Source organism: Homo sapiens, chromosome 6 (assembly GCF_000001405.40).
Source record: "Homo sapiens chromosome 6, GRCh38.p14 Primary Assembly".
In the NCBI taxonomy this organism is placed as follows: domain Eukaryota; kingdom Metazoa; phylum Chordata; class Mammalia; order Primates; family Hominidae; genus Homo; species Homo sapiens.
In genome coordinates this window covers 106770757-106787541 of record NC_000006.12, presented here as the reverse complement: position 1 = coordinate 106787541, position 16785 = coordinate 106770757, and the positions used below count along the sequence as shown (strand labels likewise).

At 44.4% G+C, this 16785-nt stretch overlaps 1 long non-coding RNA gene and 1 other non-coding gene across 4 annotated transcripts in view, besides 1 other annotated feature; one reads left to right on the top strand and one right to left on the bottom strand.

The window, feature by feature from the left end:
- The window catches only part of LINC02532 (long intergenic non-protein coding RNA 2532), a 70090-nt gene continuing 53305 nt past the window's right edge, over positions 1–16785 (top strand). For all 3 annotated transcript variants that reach the window (NR_033557.2, NR_147987.1, NR_147986.1), the window contains exon 1: positions 1–283. This is a non-coding gene — a long non-coding RNA (long intergenic non-protein coding RNA 2532). The remainder of the gene's footprint in view (positions 284–16785) is intronic.
- Positions 3322–3417, bottom strand: MIR587 (microRNA 587). Its single transcript, NR_030314.1, has one exon. It is a non-coding gene; the product is annotated as a microRNA 587 (primary transcript).
- Positions 12842–13342: an enhancer, noted in NCBI's record as "H3K4me1 hESC enhancer chr6:107222075-107222575 (GRCh37/hg19 assembly coordinates)". NCBI's record gives its function as "activates a minimal SCP1, AML or CMV promoter by ChIP-STARR-seq in primed H9 embryonic stem cells {active_cell/tissue: H9 hESC(primed)}" and the evidence as "EXISTENCE:reporter gene assay evidence [ECO:0000049][PMID:30033119]".

Sequence of the window (16785 nt, the reverse complement as noted above, 5' to 3'; positions counted from 1 at the left end):
ATTAAGTTCCCTCTGTATGCAGAATATTGTGCAACATGGTTATGGGTACTACAGTGGATGTGAGTGTGTAGACCTTGTACAATAGAGCTTATAGGCTAATGAGAAGACAGGAAGAAACAACAGGAACACATATAGCTGGAATGCAGATGGGATCTGTGCTACTTACGCTAGCCATGGGATGATTAGAACAAGATAAGAGACATGAGGAAGACTTCTTCAAGGAGGTGCTCAAGCCATGTTTTGGAAAAGAGAACTCAAGGTCTGGCAGGGAGAAAGGAGCAAGGTAACCAGGGGAAGTCTTGGAGGAGAGCAAGATGATGCTGAAACTGCCCTCACTGTTGGTTTTAATGTTGTTCTTGTCTTACTGGTCGATTCAGAGCATTCACGGTGCAAGAGAGATAGGGACATTTGATTTAAGAAATAGAGCAGAATCTCCTCAAATTAAATCAGAATTTTTGATGGAGTAGAGGTCAGAGCTATGTTTTGGAAGTGTTTGGGAAATTGTTAGTTTTGTTCCCAGGATCTGATGCTTTTGTGGTTGAATATTCCATGTGAATGTTTTCTCTGCCCATGCAAATAGTAGGTCTCCCAGACAAATATCTCAGTGGTGCCAGCACTTCATTTTCCAAATGTAGGAGGATCTTTCTAATACTTCCTTTGTGGGGAACATGAAACTGTTGGAGGCTTGTAATCATATCTATATTTTAAAGAAAGATTTTTTTTATCAACAGGCTATATGGAAATATATTCAAAACTGTTAGTATTATGGTTGGATATTAATTTTGAAGTATTATATAGTTTTTTTCCTCCTGTATTTCTTTCTTAACCCTCTCACCTACTTCTCTTCTTGTTTTTATTATTTATTTATTTATTTATTTTGAGGCAGAGTCTCACTCTGTTGCCCAGGCTGGAGTGCAGTGGCATGGTCTCCACTCACTGCAACCTCCATCTCCCAGGTTCAAGTGATTCTCTTGCCTCAGCCTCCCAAGTATTTGGGGTTACAGGCATGTGCCACCACACCCAGCTAATGTTTGTATTTTTAGTAGAGACAGGGTTTTGCCATGTTCTCCAGGCTGGTCTCGAATCCCTGACCTCAGGTGATCCCCCCGCCTCGGCCTCCCAAAGTACTTCTTGCTTTTTTGAGCAAGGTTACTCTGTCCTCATTGTCTTAGTGAAGGGATAGTCAACAGGGGACAGAGATATAGAAGCCCATTTTCCTGGCTTTTGAGTTTTTAAAGCCCTTGTGTGTAAAGGAAGGACTCTGACTTATACAAGAGATTTAGGAGAATATGTGGTGCTCCACTTGAAGCTCCCTGTCTCCAGTATCTGGGGACTTGGTGTGGGGGAGGTGGGTCACAGAGAAAGTAAGAACTGTATATTCATTAGGGAATTCTTGAATGTGGTATTGTGTGTCCTGGGTGAATGGGAATGGAACCCACTGATTAGCTTGTCGACATTTCTGTAGACTAAGATTTGTACCTGCAACTGTCTAGTGCTAAATGGTAAATATTTTTCTTCCAGTTGATTTGCCTGGGGTTCTCATTAACTTTCTAGAAGATTTTGGATAGAACTCTTGGATATTTAATGTCACAAATTTTAGTTTTGATCTTGCCTCTTGGGCTCAATGTTGCATTCCTGTAACTCTCCAAATTACCGAAAAACAATTATTGGAATAACCCAAGTTTACATGAAAAGTAAACACAGCAAAGAGCTGGAAAAACAGCATGTGATGGGTCATGGCCAGATTTGCCCATGGAAAGCCCCTAAGTGGATGTAAGTAGAAAATTCTTAGGTCCTGTAACATAAGTGCAGATAAAGGGAAGTTGCTTAATATGGAGCACCAGCACAGAAAAGAAGAATGATTTTACGTAAACATTGTGCAGTAAGTCTCTTAGAACCCCAAACCTGGGGCATAGGCCTAGGGGATGTGGTTTATTGGGTTAAAGAAGGATTGTCTGAAACGGTGATATACATCATCCTAGGGGCTGGCATGCCCTTTCTGGAGGGGAGAGGAGCCTTTGTTCTGGGCTTCTGGAGTCTTGTAGATTCCTCATCCTGAGAGCTGCTGCCCACAGCCACCACCCCACGTAGGTGTATCCAGTTTAGAAACAAAAGGGGGACTCTGGCAGGCTGGCTGCTATGCTGTATTTGTGGTCATTATTACTATTATTATTATTATTATTATTTTTTTTTTTTTGAGATGGAGTTTCGCTTTTGTTGGCCCAGGCTAGAGTGCAATGGTGCGATCTCAGTTCATCGCAACCGCTGCCTCCTGGGTTCAAGCAATTCATCTGCCTCAGCCTCCTGAGTACCTGGGATTACAGGCATGCGCCACCACGCCCCGCCAATTTTGTATTTTTAGTAGAGACGAGGTTTCTCCATGTTGGTCAGGCTGGTCTCGAACTCCCAATCTCAAGTGATCTGCCCACCTCAGCCTCCCAAAGTGCTGGGATTATAGGCATGAGCCACTGCACCCGGCCTTGTGGTCATTATTTTTAAATACTGTAGTATAAGTAATGGAATATGTGTGTAAACCAATTAATCCTAATCTGCTTTTACTCTTTAGGGTTGATTAATTAATGGATAACACAAAAAAGTGAACTCTAGTCTGTGTCAACAACTGAGTTTCCTTTATTTGCACACAAAAGTGTTAAAAGTAATTGTTGATTTGGCAAACCAGCAGATTTTTTTTTGTTTGGTTAGGAGTAATCTAATGGGACTAATTGTCTTGTGTGAATAAGGGATAAAAATGATCAAGCCCAATAATTATGCCATCTGTGTAGGGCTGGGAGTCTAGAGCCCACTGGTGTGACATCTCCAAGGATAAGACCACTCTCCCCTTGCCCCCCACCATCTAACCATAGGAAACCAGTCTTTGCGTTTGCTTCAAAAACTTGTCTCCAACATTTGCAGGCTGGGGCAAGAGTGCAAATGGAGACCCACATAGCATATGTTTAAACATCTAAAAGCTATAAATCCAGCTAAGAAACCATAATATAGAACATACTCTATCCTCTTGCCTTGAAAAATATATATTCAGAGGGACCTAGAATATCAAGTTTGGATATAGAATTCTTCAACTCAGAGTTCCATCTGCTTGTCCCAGTGTCTCCGTTCTCTGTCTGCTCCCAGCTCCATCCCTCATCCCATATTAAAGACACCCCAGTCTGCATAGCCCATTCTTTATAAATGGCTGCCTGGTGGCCTAGGGATGAGGACAGCCATGAGACAGATGATCCTCAGGACTCAGACCCCCTGAAGAGGCCTGAAGTGAGTTCAGGGCCCTTGGGATCCTGGGCACCAAAGAGTGGTTTAGGTGGGATATGGGATGGGCTTTCCACTGGTGATGAGTCACAGGTGCAGACACATTCCCTGAGCCCTGTGACTCATCACCTATGGAAAGAGGGTGCATAGGAGGGGCAGAAAGAGACCTTTTAAAGGACAGCAACTCTCTCTTGCCTGGGTATTTCTGCTGTTTTTTTTGGGGGGAGCCGGAGGTTGCAAGGAGAGAGATAGAGAGAGAGAGAGAGAGAGACCTCTCCTCTTAGCAAGGTTTTAAAAGATTAATATAATCTGGTATCTAACAAAGATCCCTGCATTTGATGAAATGTGGTCTGAGCTGAGACTTGCATTTATTGCAACAGCTCCACTTGGTAGCAAGCTAATCAGGGTGGGGACCTACAGTCTCTACTTGTGTCCAACCACAGGAGGTGACTGATATTTTTTATGGTGAGATCATGGCTTACTGATGCAGAATCAAGCATGCCCCAAGAGTTCTGTTTGCATCTGTTCACCTCCTCACTGGACCTGACACATGCTGAATGATTAGTTGGGTGTAGTAAGAGCGTCTGTTTCTCCTTGCACATTTGAAAATGAAGTTCTCAAGTAGGTAGTGTAAAGTCATGAATCTAATTCATAGTTCCTCTCTCTCAGTCTACCATGCACCCTTCAGCAAGCACTCTCTTCCCACTGGTCTTTGAGCCTCATTCAGCCCCAGCTGGTGAGTTGAGGAAATAAGCCTAGGTGAATGTGAGCTCTGATAATCCAAGGGCTTTCAGAAAACCACAACAAGCCAGGAAAACTACCAAGTTTTCCATGGAGGCAGCAGGGAAAGGGAGGAGGAGGGTCTGAGTGTCTGCCAGATTCTAGACTCAACTTTGCTGAGGATTTACCCGTGAATTTGTACAAATCTCTTCCGTCTTTCTTTCTCAGTTTCATCTGTCTAAAATGATGAGTGTGAATTAAATGGCCTAAAGTCCCTCCTAGTGCCAAAACTCTTGGGTTATTTGGCTCTCATTGGCTACAGTGCCTTCTAATGTAAGCAAATGTAAAATTCCCTCTTCCCTCTTCAGCGCAAATGGACTTCATTCTCAAGGCACAATGGGGAGCCTGTATCCTGGAGGGCCCTAAGAAAGGAGCCAAGTCCATTGGCTGTGAGTCGACAGGGACAGGAGTCCTTCTACCAATCTCTGTGTGGCTGGCCCAGACCGCCTGCTCAGCCAGGCAGTGCTCCTGTAAAAGCAGAATAATTTTCATTCCCCTCACATTAGTTTAAGCGAGGATTCACTTTTGTGTCTGCATGTCAGTTGATACTCAGCGGATCGCGTGGTTTATAGCTGGACTGATATCGTTTAAATCTGGAACTCTTTTCCTCTGGCCTCAATAACCCAAGCGACTTGTATGCTTTTCCTCAGCTCCCTCCCTTTTCAGGAAAAGTGATAAAGAGGTCAAAGAGAACACAGTGAGAGGGGGAAGTTGCTGGAGCAAGCTTTCCCCAGCTGTAATGTTCTCTCAGACGTCAAGGTTGTACCCTGTTCTTAGAGGTTGTTCCAGATCTTAGATAGTCACTATGCCCAGAGGTAAATACAGCTGGGGCAGCAGCCAGAGGGAATGATCCTCCAGCTGCCCGCTGCTGTCCTTAAGTGTGGCTGTCATGAGACGCACAAGTTTGCAGGGAAGACTGAGTGCCTAGATTGCGGGAAGAAAGATAAAATTCCTCAGCCTTGTTTACGTCCTAAATTGGTAGTCTGACTTGGTGAGCTATAGATTATAAGGAGGTTGCTTTGCAGACTGTGAGGAGTCACCGAGCAGCTATTCAATGGCAGAGGTGAGCCTGGCATCGTGGTGGCCCCTTCTCATCCAGGGGCTCGCCCACCTTCCTCTCTTCCTCATGTCCACTTTGGTTCTCCTGCCTGATGCTCTTTCCCTCCCTCGGCCGCCTAGGTCAGCTCAGGCCCCACAAGTGTTTCTCATCATGACACCTCTCTTCCCTGGAACCCACCCCTACGTTCCTGCTTCCTGCCTGTGAGTATGTTAGGGTGCTGTCAGCAGGACTGTGGGGTGGAGATGCCTGACGCCTCTCACCTGAAGATAAGAGGTGAGCAGGCAAAGTGCCTGAGTCTGTCTGTTCTGCTATAGCAAAATACCTGAGACTATATTGGGGTAAATTTTTTTTTTTTTTTTTTTACTTTTGGATAAAATGTTTGTGTAATATCAAGAAAAAATGGCCCTGCAGTGATTTGTCTTTGGGGGAGGAGGGGGAACTTGCAGGGGAGAAAGATTGTGGTTCAGAAGAAAATTATAGTGTTAGATTAACCTTGGATTCCTGGGTAGCCAGGTGTTCAGCCATGGTATGGAGCTGCCCACAATGCCCCTCCTCAGCATGAAGCAGCCAAAAAGATTGATGACCAGATTCCTCATGATGGAGAACTGAATTAATCTGTTTTCTCGCTGCTGATAAAGACATACCTGAGACTGAGAAATTTACAAAAGAAAGAGGTTTAAGAGACTTACAGTTCCACATGACTGGGAGGCTTCACAATCATGGCAGAAGGCAAGGAGGAGCAAGTCATGTCTTACATGGATGGCAGCAGGCAAAGAGAGAGTTTGTGCAAGGGAACTCCTCTTTATAAAACCATCATATCTCATGAGGCTTATTCACTATCATGAGAACAGCACGGGAAAGACTTGCCCCCATGATTCAGTTACCTTCCACTGGGTCCCTTCCACAACATGTGGGAATTCAAGATGAGATTTGGGTGGGTACACAGCCAAACCATATCATTCTGCACCTGGCCCCTCCCAAATCTCATGTCCTCACATTTCAAAACCAATCATGTCTTTCCAGCAGTCCCCCAGAGTCTTAACTCAGTTCAACATTAACTGAAAAGTCCACAGTCCAAAGTCTTATCCAAGACAAGGCAAGTCTCTTCCACTTATGAGCCTGTAAAATCAAAAGCAAGTTAGTTACTTCCTAGACACAATAGGGTAAAGGCATTGGGTAAATAAAGCCATTCCAAATGGGAGAAATTGGCCACAACAAAGGGGCTACAGGCCCCATACAAGTCTGAAATCCAGCGGGGCAGTTAAAGCTTAAAGTTTCAAAATGATCTCCTTTGACTCCACATCTCACATCCAGGGCATGCTGATGCAAGTGGTGGGTTCCCATGGTCTTGGGCAGCTCCACCCCTGGGGCTTTGCAGGGTACAGCCTCCCTCCTGGCTGCCTTCATGGCTGGCATTGGGTGTCTGCAGCTTTTCCAAGCACACGATGCAAACTGTCAGTGCAGCTACCATTCTGGGGTCTGGAGGATGGTGGCCCTCTTCTCACAGCTCCACTAGGCAGTGCCCCAGTAGGGACTCTGTGTGGGGACTCTGACCCCACATTTCCCTTCTATACTGCCCTAGCAGAGGTTCTCCATGAGGGCCCCACCTCTGCAGCAAACTACTGCCTGGGAACCCAGACATTTCCATACATTTCCTGAAATCTAGGCAGAAGTTCCCAAACCTCTGTTCTTGACTTCTGTGCACTTGCAGACTCAATACCACATGGAAGTTGCCAAGGCTTGGGGCTTGCACCCTCTGAAGCCATGGCCCGAGCTGTACATTGGCCCCTTTTAGTCATGGCTGGAGCAGCTGGGACACAGGCACCAAGTCCCTAGAATGCACACAGCAGAAGGACCCTGGGCCCAGACCATGAAACCATTTTTTCCTCATAAACCTCCAGGCCTGTGATGGGAGGGGCTGCTGCAAAGGTCTCTAACATGCCCTGGAGACATTTTTCCCATTGCCTTGGGGATTAACATTCGGCTCCTTGTTACTTATGCAAATTTCTGCAGCTGGCTTGAATTTCTTCTCACAAAATGGAATTATCTTTTCTATCGCATTGTTAGGCTGCAAATTTTCCAAACTTTTATGCTGTGCTTCCCTTATAAAACTAAATGCCTTTAATGCTACCCAAGTCACCTCTTGAAAGCTTTGCTGCTTAGAAATTTCTTCCACCAGGTGCCCTAAATCATCTCTCTCAAGTTTAAAGTTCCACAAATCTCTAGGGCAGGGGCAAGATGCCACCAGTCTCTTTGCTAAAACATAGCAAGAGTCACCTTTGCTCCAATTCCCAACAAGTTCCTTATCTCCATCTGAGACCACCTCAGCCTGGATTTCCTGTCCATATCATCAGCATTTTGGAAAAAGCCATTCAACAAGTCTCTAGGGAGTTTCAGACTTTCCTATATTTTCCTGTCTTCTTCTCCATACTGTGCCGACCTCTGTCAAAGTTGCTTCCATATTTTTCCAAAGTTGCTTCTATATTTTTGGGTATCTTTTCAACAGATCCCCACTCTATTGGTACCAATTTACTGTATTAGTCTGTTCTCACACTGCAGATAAAACATACCTGAGACTGAGCAATTTGCAAAAGAAAGAGGCTTAATGGACTTACAGTTCCACATGGCTGGGGAGGCCTCATGATCATGGCAGAAGGCAAGGAGGAGCAAGTCATGTCTTACATGGATGGCAGCAGGCAAAGAAAGAGAACTTATGCAGGGGAACTCCTCTTTATATACCCATCAGATCTTGTGAGGCTTATTCACTATCATGAGAACAGCATGGGAAAGACTTGCCCCCATGATTCAGTTATATCCCACTGGGTCCCTCCTGCAACATGTGGGAATTCAAGATGAGAGGTGGGGACACAGCCAAACCATATCAAGGACTGATAAGTAGAAAGAGGGGTGGAGGACTAAAACCAGCCCAATTGTCCCATAGAACTGATGTTTTTGGTTTCTTTGAATAAACATAGAAATTGATCCTCCCAGTCTTAAAACTTGAGAAAGTTACATTTGTCTTATATGAGTTTCTTTCTCAGGAAACCAACCATCAACCCTCCCAGATAGTGGCAAGGAACTAAAACTTACCAGATCATAGCATCTGGACAGTGAGACACCAGAGCCCCTCACCTATCATGACTGCCTAACTGGCCACCTGCTTCTTGTTGACCAACTCCTCTTCCTTACCCCTCTTGAGCTCCTATTTTCCCACACATGGCTTCATTTCTTCCCTGCTATATAAACTCTTCATTTTAGTCAGTCGGGGAAATGGATTTGAGACTGATCTCCCATCTCCTGGGCTGTAGCACCCAATTAAAGCCTTCTTCCCTGGCAATACTCTTTGTCTCAGCGATTGGCTTTTTGTGTGGCAAGCAGCAGGACCTAGACTGAACCTCTGGCATTTTGGTAACAGACATGGGTATATTATGTGATGCTGAGGTTTAGGGTATGATTGATTCCATCACCCAGGTAGTGAGCATATTACCCAATGGTTAGTTTTTCAACCCTTGTGGTCTCCCTTCCTTCTCCCACTAGTAGTCCTCGGTGTCTATTGTTGCCATCTTTGTGTCCATGAGAACCCAACGTTTAGCTCCCACTTACAAGTGAGGACATCAGTATTTGGTTTTCTATTCCTGCATTAATTTGCTTAGGATGATGGACTCCAGCTGTATCCATGTTGCTGTAAAGGACATAATTTCATTCTTTTTTATGGTTGTGCAAATATCACTTACAATTTGTAAATGAAGAAAATGGGCTGGGTGTGGTGGCTCACACCTGTAATCCCAACACTTTGGGAGCCCGAGGCAGGAGGATCGCTTCAGCCCAAAAGTTTGAGACCAGTCTGGGCAACATAGTGAGACCCCATCTCTAAAATAAATAAATAAACTAATAATGATTCCATACTCTGTCATGACAATTTAACTTAGCTAGGTCATCTTACACTAAATATGGACAATTTTAATGGTTATCTTGTATAACATTACTCACTAGCAGTTGATGCAGGTGGAGAATATTTAGCTGAAAGACTTAAAAATGCTTTATTCTTGGCTACTGAAAGTGTGGTTCATGTATCAACAGCATCAGCATCACCTGAGAGTTGTTAAAGTGCAGACTCTCAGATCCTACTCAGACCTGACAAATCAAAATCTGCATCCTAACCAGATTCCCCAGGTGATTTGTAGGCACATTGAAGTTTGAAAAGCAAATTGGCCACCTATCAGAATGACCTGATATACTTTAAAATCTAGTTACCTGGGCTCCATTCCCAAAGTTTGTTTCAACAAGTTTGAAGCAGAGCCCAGTGAACTATGTATTTTTAAAAAATATCCTCCAAAACAGACAAGTTTGGGAACCATCACTCTAGCCCTTCCTCTCTATTCTGCTGATGAAGAAAATGAGGCACAGTGTGGTGAAATGATCTCATCAAATAACAGCAGGTTAAAATCCAGGCTGGGCACAGTGGAGGATCACTTGAGCCTAGGAGTTCGAGGCCAGCCTGAGCAACATGGCAAGACCCCCATCTCTATTAAAAAAAAAAAAAAGCCAGGCATGGTGGTGCACACCTGTGGTCCCAGCTACTTGGGAGGCTGAGGTGGAAAGATTGCTTGAGCCCAGAACGTTGAGGCTGCACTGAGCCATGTTCATATCACTGTACTCCAGCCTGGGCAACAGAGCAAGACCATCTCAAAATAAAATAAAGTAAAATACTATAAAATACAGATCCCCTGACTATTAGACCAATTTAGCCTACACACACACACACACACACACACACACACACACACACAATCATCTTATTATATACAGTTGAAAAGACTGTGCTTATGGAATTTGTTCCAAGAAACAGAAGGGATTTTGCTTGACACAAACTGGAGCTTGGCAGCAATATGAAGAAATTTGAGGACTTGAGACTGGTTCTCAAGAAGCGTACATTCAATGGGGCAAAGAAGATACTGGGCAATCCAATAAATAAAAACAAATATAAGGAAAGGAACTCATGAATGCCTTTGCCACTCCACACTCATCTGTGTTGGAATTGTTTCCTTCTCTACAATCCCACAGAATTTTGTTTCTGTTTCCCCTGTGGACTACTTCCAGCCTCCATATCAAAATTCTTTATGTGTTGAGCTTTGTGCCTGGCCCATGAGTAACAAAGTACCAAACTCTTTCTTAAAGACCTTTGTCACCAGCCTATCAGTGCTTTGCACATAGTAGGACCTTATCAAGAGCATTTGGGGAGAGGATGGAGTGGTATTCACATAGTCATATGATCAATTACTTATTGTTCAATATGTATGCTATGGACTAAATGTTTGTGCCCTCCCCCAGAATTTATATGTTGAAGTCCTAATTCCCAATATGATAATATTTGCAGTTGGGGCCTTTGGGAGGCATTTAGGTTTAGATTAGGTCATGAGAGGTGGGGGCCGTATGATGGGATTCATGTCCTTATAAGAAGAAGAGACCAGAGCCCCCTCTCTCTGCCATGTAAGGGCCCTGCAAGAAGGCAGTTATCTGCACACCAGGAAGAGGGCCCTCACCAGACAATGAATCTACTGGCACCCCCTTAGGCTTCTCAGCTTCCAGAATGGTGAGAAATAAATGTTTGTTGTTTAAGCCGCTCAGTCAGTGGTATTTTGCTATGGCAGTCCAAACAGACTAAGATAATATGCATTACACTGAACTAAGTGGTGAGTAGAATACCAAGTTTATAAAACTCAGTCCCACCCTAAGGATACTTGTGTGTGTGTGTGTGTGTGTGTGTGTGTGTGTGTGTGTGTGTGTGTTAGAGGCAGGGTCTTGCTATGTTGCCCAGGCTTGTCTCAAATTCCTGGGCTCAAATGATCCACCCGCCTCAATCTCCCAAAGTGCTGAGATTACAGGCATGAGCCACTGCTCCCAGCCCCTAAGGATACTTATAATCTAGTAGGCAGATGATTCATGGTCTCTTAAAAATATATTCAAGATTACAAGACAATAAGTAACAAGAGCCATTTGAAGGATATACACACAAGCAACTTTCCCAACCTATAAAACCCTTTTTATTTTTATTATTATTATTTTTTGAGAGAGAGTCTCGCTCTGTCCCCCAGGCTGGAGTGCAATGGCATGATCTCAGCTCACTGCAACCTCTGCCTCCCAGGTTCAAGCAATTCTCCAGCCTCAGCCTCCTGAGTAGCTGGGATTACAGGTACCCACCACCACATCTGGCTAATTTTTGTATTTTTAATAGGGACGGGGTTTCACCATGTTGGTCAGGCTGGTCTCGAACTCCTGACTTCAGGTGATCCACCCACCTGAGCCTCCCAAAGTACTGGGATTACAGGTGTGAAACACTGCACCTGGCTCAAAACCCTTTTTATAACAAATAATTTCAAATGGTCTCTTAGTTTTTCTGAACTGGAATTCATGAATAATATAGTTAACTTACATATGAACGACATAACTCACTCAAAATCAGTGTAATAAATTCCTTAACTCTGATATAAAGAAGAAATAAAATAAAAGCAATTTATAACAAAAAAAGTCTGAGGTCGGGAGTTCGAGACCAGCCTGACCAACATGGAGAAACCCCATCTCTACTAAAAATACAAAATTAGCCAGGCATGGTGGCACATCCCTGTAATCCCAGCTACTCAGGAGGTTGAGGCAGGAGAATCGCTTGAACCCAGGAGGCAGAGGTTGCAGTGAGCCGAGATCGCACCGTTGCGTTCCAGTCTGGGCAACAAGAGCAAGACTCTGTCTCAAAAAAAAAAAAAAAAAGTGTTTCAACATATAAATGTTCAGGCACATTTACACCAAAAACCACAATGAAGTAGTCAGATACAAAACTGCTATGACTGGGATAGCTACAAATGCAAACTAATAGAGATATATTGTCCCGGAGATTGCACTGGGAGCAGCGTGACTGTGGATAATGTGTGTTTCCAAAGCAGTGACTAAAGGTAAGGTTCTGAACGAAGCAAAGAACGCTTTTCCCTGAATTTTCACAAAAGTTGAGTTCCTAGAAATCTGGTGTGTATTAAAACTGTGCAAACAATACTTTGGGTATAAAAAGGGGGCTGGGTGTGGTGGCTCATGCCTGTAATCCCAGCACTTTGGGAGGCCGAGATGGGTGGATCACTTAAGGTCAGGAGTTTAAGACCAGCCTGGTGACCAACATGGTGAAACTCCATCTCTACTAAAAATATAAAAATTAGCTGGGTATGGTGGCGGGTGCCTGTGATCCCAGCTACTAGGGAGGTTGAGGCAGGCAAATTGTTTGAACTGGGGAGGCGGAGGTTGCAGTGAGCCAAGATCATGCCACTGCACTCCAGCCTGGGTGACAGAGCAGACTCCGTCTCAAAAACAAACAAACAAACAAAAAACTCTGTGTGCAAACAGGAATTAGGTTCCAGGCTCAAATAATTAAAAATAGATTTTTTCACCCACCAGACTGCCTGGCAGCTCTTTAGAAAGTTGTGTGACGTATGAACCAGTTCTTCCCTATATGAGAGTGTACCGTACATCGCAGGCTGTCCAGCATCGACCCCACTGATGGATGCTAGTAGTCCTCCCCGCCAGCACTCAACATTGTGACAGTCAAAAACATCCTCTCTACATTTTCAATGCCCCTGTTGGGGTAGCAGGACTCCCACTGAGAGACCCCAGTAGAGATGGTAAGTGGAGGCAGAGCAGCACCTCTCACACTTCCATGTGCCCTTGAATGCCCCCACGGATCTTGCTAACATGCAGATTTAGGATGTCTGGGGTGGAGCCTGAGAATCTGCATTTCTACCAGCTGTTCTTGGACCCAGGCTGGCGAGATCAGAGGAAGAAGAAATGACCTTGGGTTTAGGTAGCAAAGACTTCACAGAAAAGAAGGGAACATAAACAAGGTTTTGAAGAATACATGGAGGTGGAGCTGATGACATCCCACGAGGTGCAGGCTGCTGGGAGGCAGGCACACTGGACCAGCGGAGAGGGATCCGTACGTAGCAAACTGTGCCCATAGTGAGCAAACAGCCTTGAGCCAACAGCAACAGCACTGCTGGGCACAGAGGGTAAAAATAACAACTCCCTACTGGGGTTGAGTCTGCCAGACCCTGGCAAAGTTCATTTCTTTCAATAAATCCAGCAGCGTCCCCTTTGATAAATACTGTCAAAGCTGGAACATGTGATGCTAACAAAATATGGTTTTAATTTGGGGCCCACTGCGCTCATGGTTAAATACTGCATGTGTGTATACACAAGCAGACTCACAGCGGGCCAAGTTAATATGCCTGGGCTGAGAATGGCTAAACCCATAAGGATTCAGTTATACAGATTTTGCTGCTCTGAAAAGCAACCTAATCACCACCATCAATTCTAATGCTCTAAGACTTGTTAGGAACATGGAAGCTTTTAAAGTTCAGCCATTTGTGCATTTGCATCCAGTGCAGACGCAGGGGCACATTTGTTTTCCTGATATTTTATGCCTACTTTATTGTCATATGTTGTCTGACATTCTGAAGATAACATGCTGTTTTAATCAACAGCTCAACACTGCATTAAAACTTGATGGTCCATAGCTTTGTAGCAAAGGGAGGTGGGGAGGAAATGAGAATCAGAGTTTAGCAACAGACCGAGGCTTGTTCTGGTGGGATTAATTCCTGGGAACACAGAAACTCTCAGAGTTTTTGTTAGTCTGTGTGTGTCAGTTTTGGAACAGCCCAGGGAAAGAAGGAAACTGGCTAAACAAGTTTCAGTCTGGCCTCTGCGGTGGATGCTGCTGGTAACTGGACCTCCAGGCCATCATGAATAATGAAGAAGTCTGCTTCTTCAAGAGTGCAGGTCACAGCAACTGCACCGAGGCAACTGCCCAGCAAACCAAAGATTACAGCACCTGTCCAGTAATCTTATGGGGGAAACAAACAAAGCTGGGGAATGCAGTGAGCAGCAGGTGTCCTCAGGGCGGTAGGAGGGCAGAGAAAGTGAAGAAGCCAGGTGGGTAGTGGGAGTGGGAACCTACCCGAAGTTCCCCAGTGCAGGACGCAGAACAGTTGGCCCTTCCAGAGACCAGCTCCTCAGGAAGGCGAAACTCAGGGAAGGGAGCTGGTTGTTTCATGAAACAAGCAAGGATCAGAATAATTTCCTGAAAGGACTAGAGGTTTATCACATGCGGAATACCAGTATGAAGGGAGCTGCAGGAATTCTTCATTCCAGGAGGCACCTGCCCTGTTGCATTTTGAAATTGGCTAAAAATGTATTTCTATTTTATTATTATTTATTCGTAGTGACAGAAAAAGCCTGAGATCCTGTGAGCAGCGACTTCCCAGTTAGTCACTGGTCAGCTAGAGACTAAGGTAGAAAAGCTTGATGGGAATACTTAAATTTTGCATACCCATGTTTATTTTTTGTGGCAAAAGTGAAGCCTGTTTACTGGAGAAAAATATAAGTCCCTAAACAGTGCAGACATTGTTTAAAAATCAGGGAGAGTCCTCCTAGTCATGAGGGGAAGTCCTTCTTTAGGCTACTCAAAACTTCAAAGTAGAAGGTGCTTAGGAGCAACCAATGAGGATTGAGTGAATTAGGGATTCCCAAGGTATTTTCCACTGGTCTCTAGGGTCCTCTATGTTTTCCCTGGTGTTCCGGAAGGAGAGAGAAAAGGCAATTCTCCCTACCCTAAAAGCTGTTAGTTGGTTTGTAGCCTTGGGGGATGCTGGTCAGATGCTGCCTAAGCCGAGTGAACATTCAGGGCATGGCTGCACTTGGCACTGGCTTCTTTTTTCCTTGGATTGCTTCCTCACTAATGGAAAGGATTGAGAGGAGGGCCTGGCAATTTTATCTGGAAAAATAATTCAGATTTCTAATGGTATAGAGATTATGTACCATTAGAAAGGGCAGGGGAAAGGAGGATTTGTTCCTGCGTATTCATTACGGTGTTGAAATGCTCTAGGGACAAGAGGTCAGTGGGCATTGAACCCAAACCAAATTTAGCAATGGAATAAGCCTCTAATTGGGGCCTGGATTCCACATTAAAAGCTATTCTCCACCTGATACCTTTTAAAGATACCGCTGCAGTGTGTAAATTTCATGGATTTCTCTCATTGCAGGTCCCCAAGCATGCTAACCATGAAGCAGTGATATCGCACAGCACCTGCTTCCAGCAGCCCGGAGCCAAGGGGCAAAATGGAAAGAGTCAGCATTTCTCTTTTAGGTTCTCTGCCTCTCTAGTGTGTAAGCTTTTAACCCCCACTACGCGTCTTCGTTCCATTCTCCTCCAGTACCCATTTTAGTGAGCTTCTGTTGTTTCTGCCCCAGGATATCTCTAACAAAGAACCAAGATATTTATCAGGAGAACTTCTCCCACTCTCCTCTCAGTCCTTGGGGATCTGATGAAATGACACTTCTTGGACTGTGGGGTGGAGCATGTGAGTCACACCTGGGCCAATCATTTTATCCTATTTCGTGACCACATGACCAATTCAGGGATGGGAACATGACCCAGGTGGAACCTATGAGAGGCAGTGAGATCTTTCCAGGTACTTCCAGGAAAGAGGGTCTCACTTTTCCCTCTATAATGTACACCAGAGAAGGTGTGTGGCTGAAGCTGCTACCATCCTCTTGTGGCTACAGGAAGCTGGGATTAATTGTAACAACGCAATTGGCAGATCTGAAAGCTGAGAACAAAAAAGCAAAAAACCTGTGTTCTAATAACACTATATATGAGCCCTAAATCCAGCTATGCCTGGAGCCAGTCTTACTGTGGAATTTTTAACCTAAGCTGGTTGATAAATTATCTTTTCATTTAAGACAAAGTCATGGCAGATTTTTTGCCACTTGTGAGAAGAAGACAGATACACCCAAGAAGCTCCTGTTCTTTCTCATTAACCCATATTAAAACCCACTTTCGGGAAAGGATTCTCCATTCTAAATTATTAATAACTGATAATGCTTCAAAGTCAAAGTATGACTCCTTCAAGAAAGTTTTCAGCTTTCAGGATTTGTTCAGCAAATACTGAGCCCCTTCTGATGCAAATAGACATGGCAGTGTATGCTAGGAGGAGAGTGTAGCCAAGTTTTCCCATCAAACTCGGTATTTCAGTGCCTAATTTTGGCCATTCAGATAAGTTTCAACTTCTAGTAATGGCCAAGTAAATTATATCTAACTAAACCTTCTGCCAAAGACAGTGGTAAATTCTGGACCCAAAACACAATGATAACAACAAAACCTGTTTGAAGGTTCTTGAAACTGGCCAACATGGTTTGGTTCTGCAGACAAAAACTGAAGACATGACCCTTGAAAAAAGGAAATCACATATGGTGAGATACACATTTATCAGGTTTTCCTTCAGCAGCGCTATCCATTTCCTGCAGTGGACGGAGGTAGAGCTCAGCAGAAAGTGGCTGTTCTACTGAGTTAAAAAGTTAGAGGTTAGAATTTGGGGCTTCCACAGTAGCAGGAGATTGGGAAGGAGGGAATCTCGCAAAGGAGGGAGTCTCAGATGGGGAGCTCCCAAATCTGTGTACAAACTTCTCTGATTCCTAAACTGTGCATCTGGGTGAGGTTCAAGGAGCTGAGGGAAAAATAACAGCTGGAAGGCTAAAAAGGTGTTGTCTTGTGTTGAGCAGATGGTGCTTAGGGTTTAGTTCTCACCAAGTTAGAGGACTCTGGAGAACACCTAAAGCTTTCTACTGAGACTACAGAAGGAGTAATG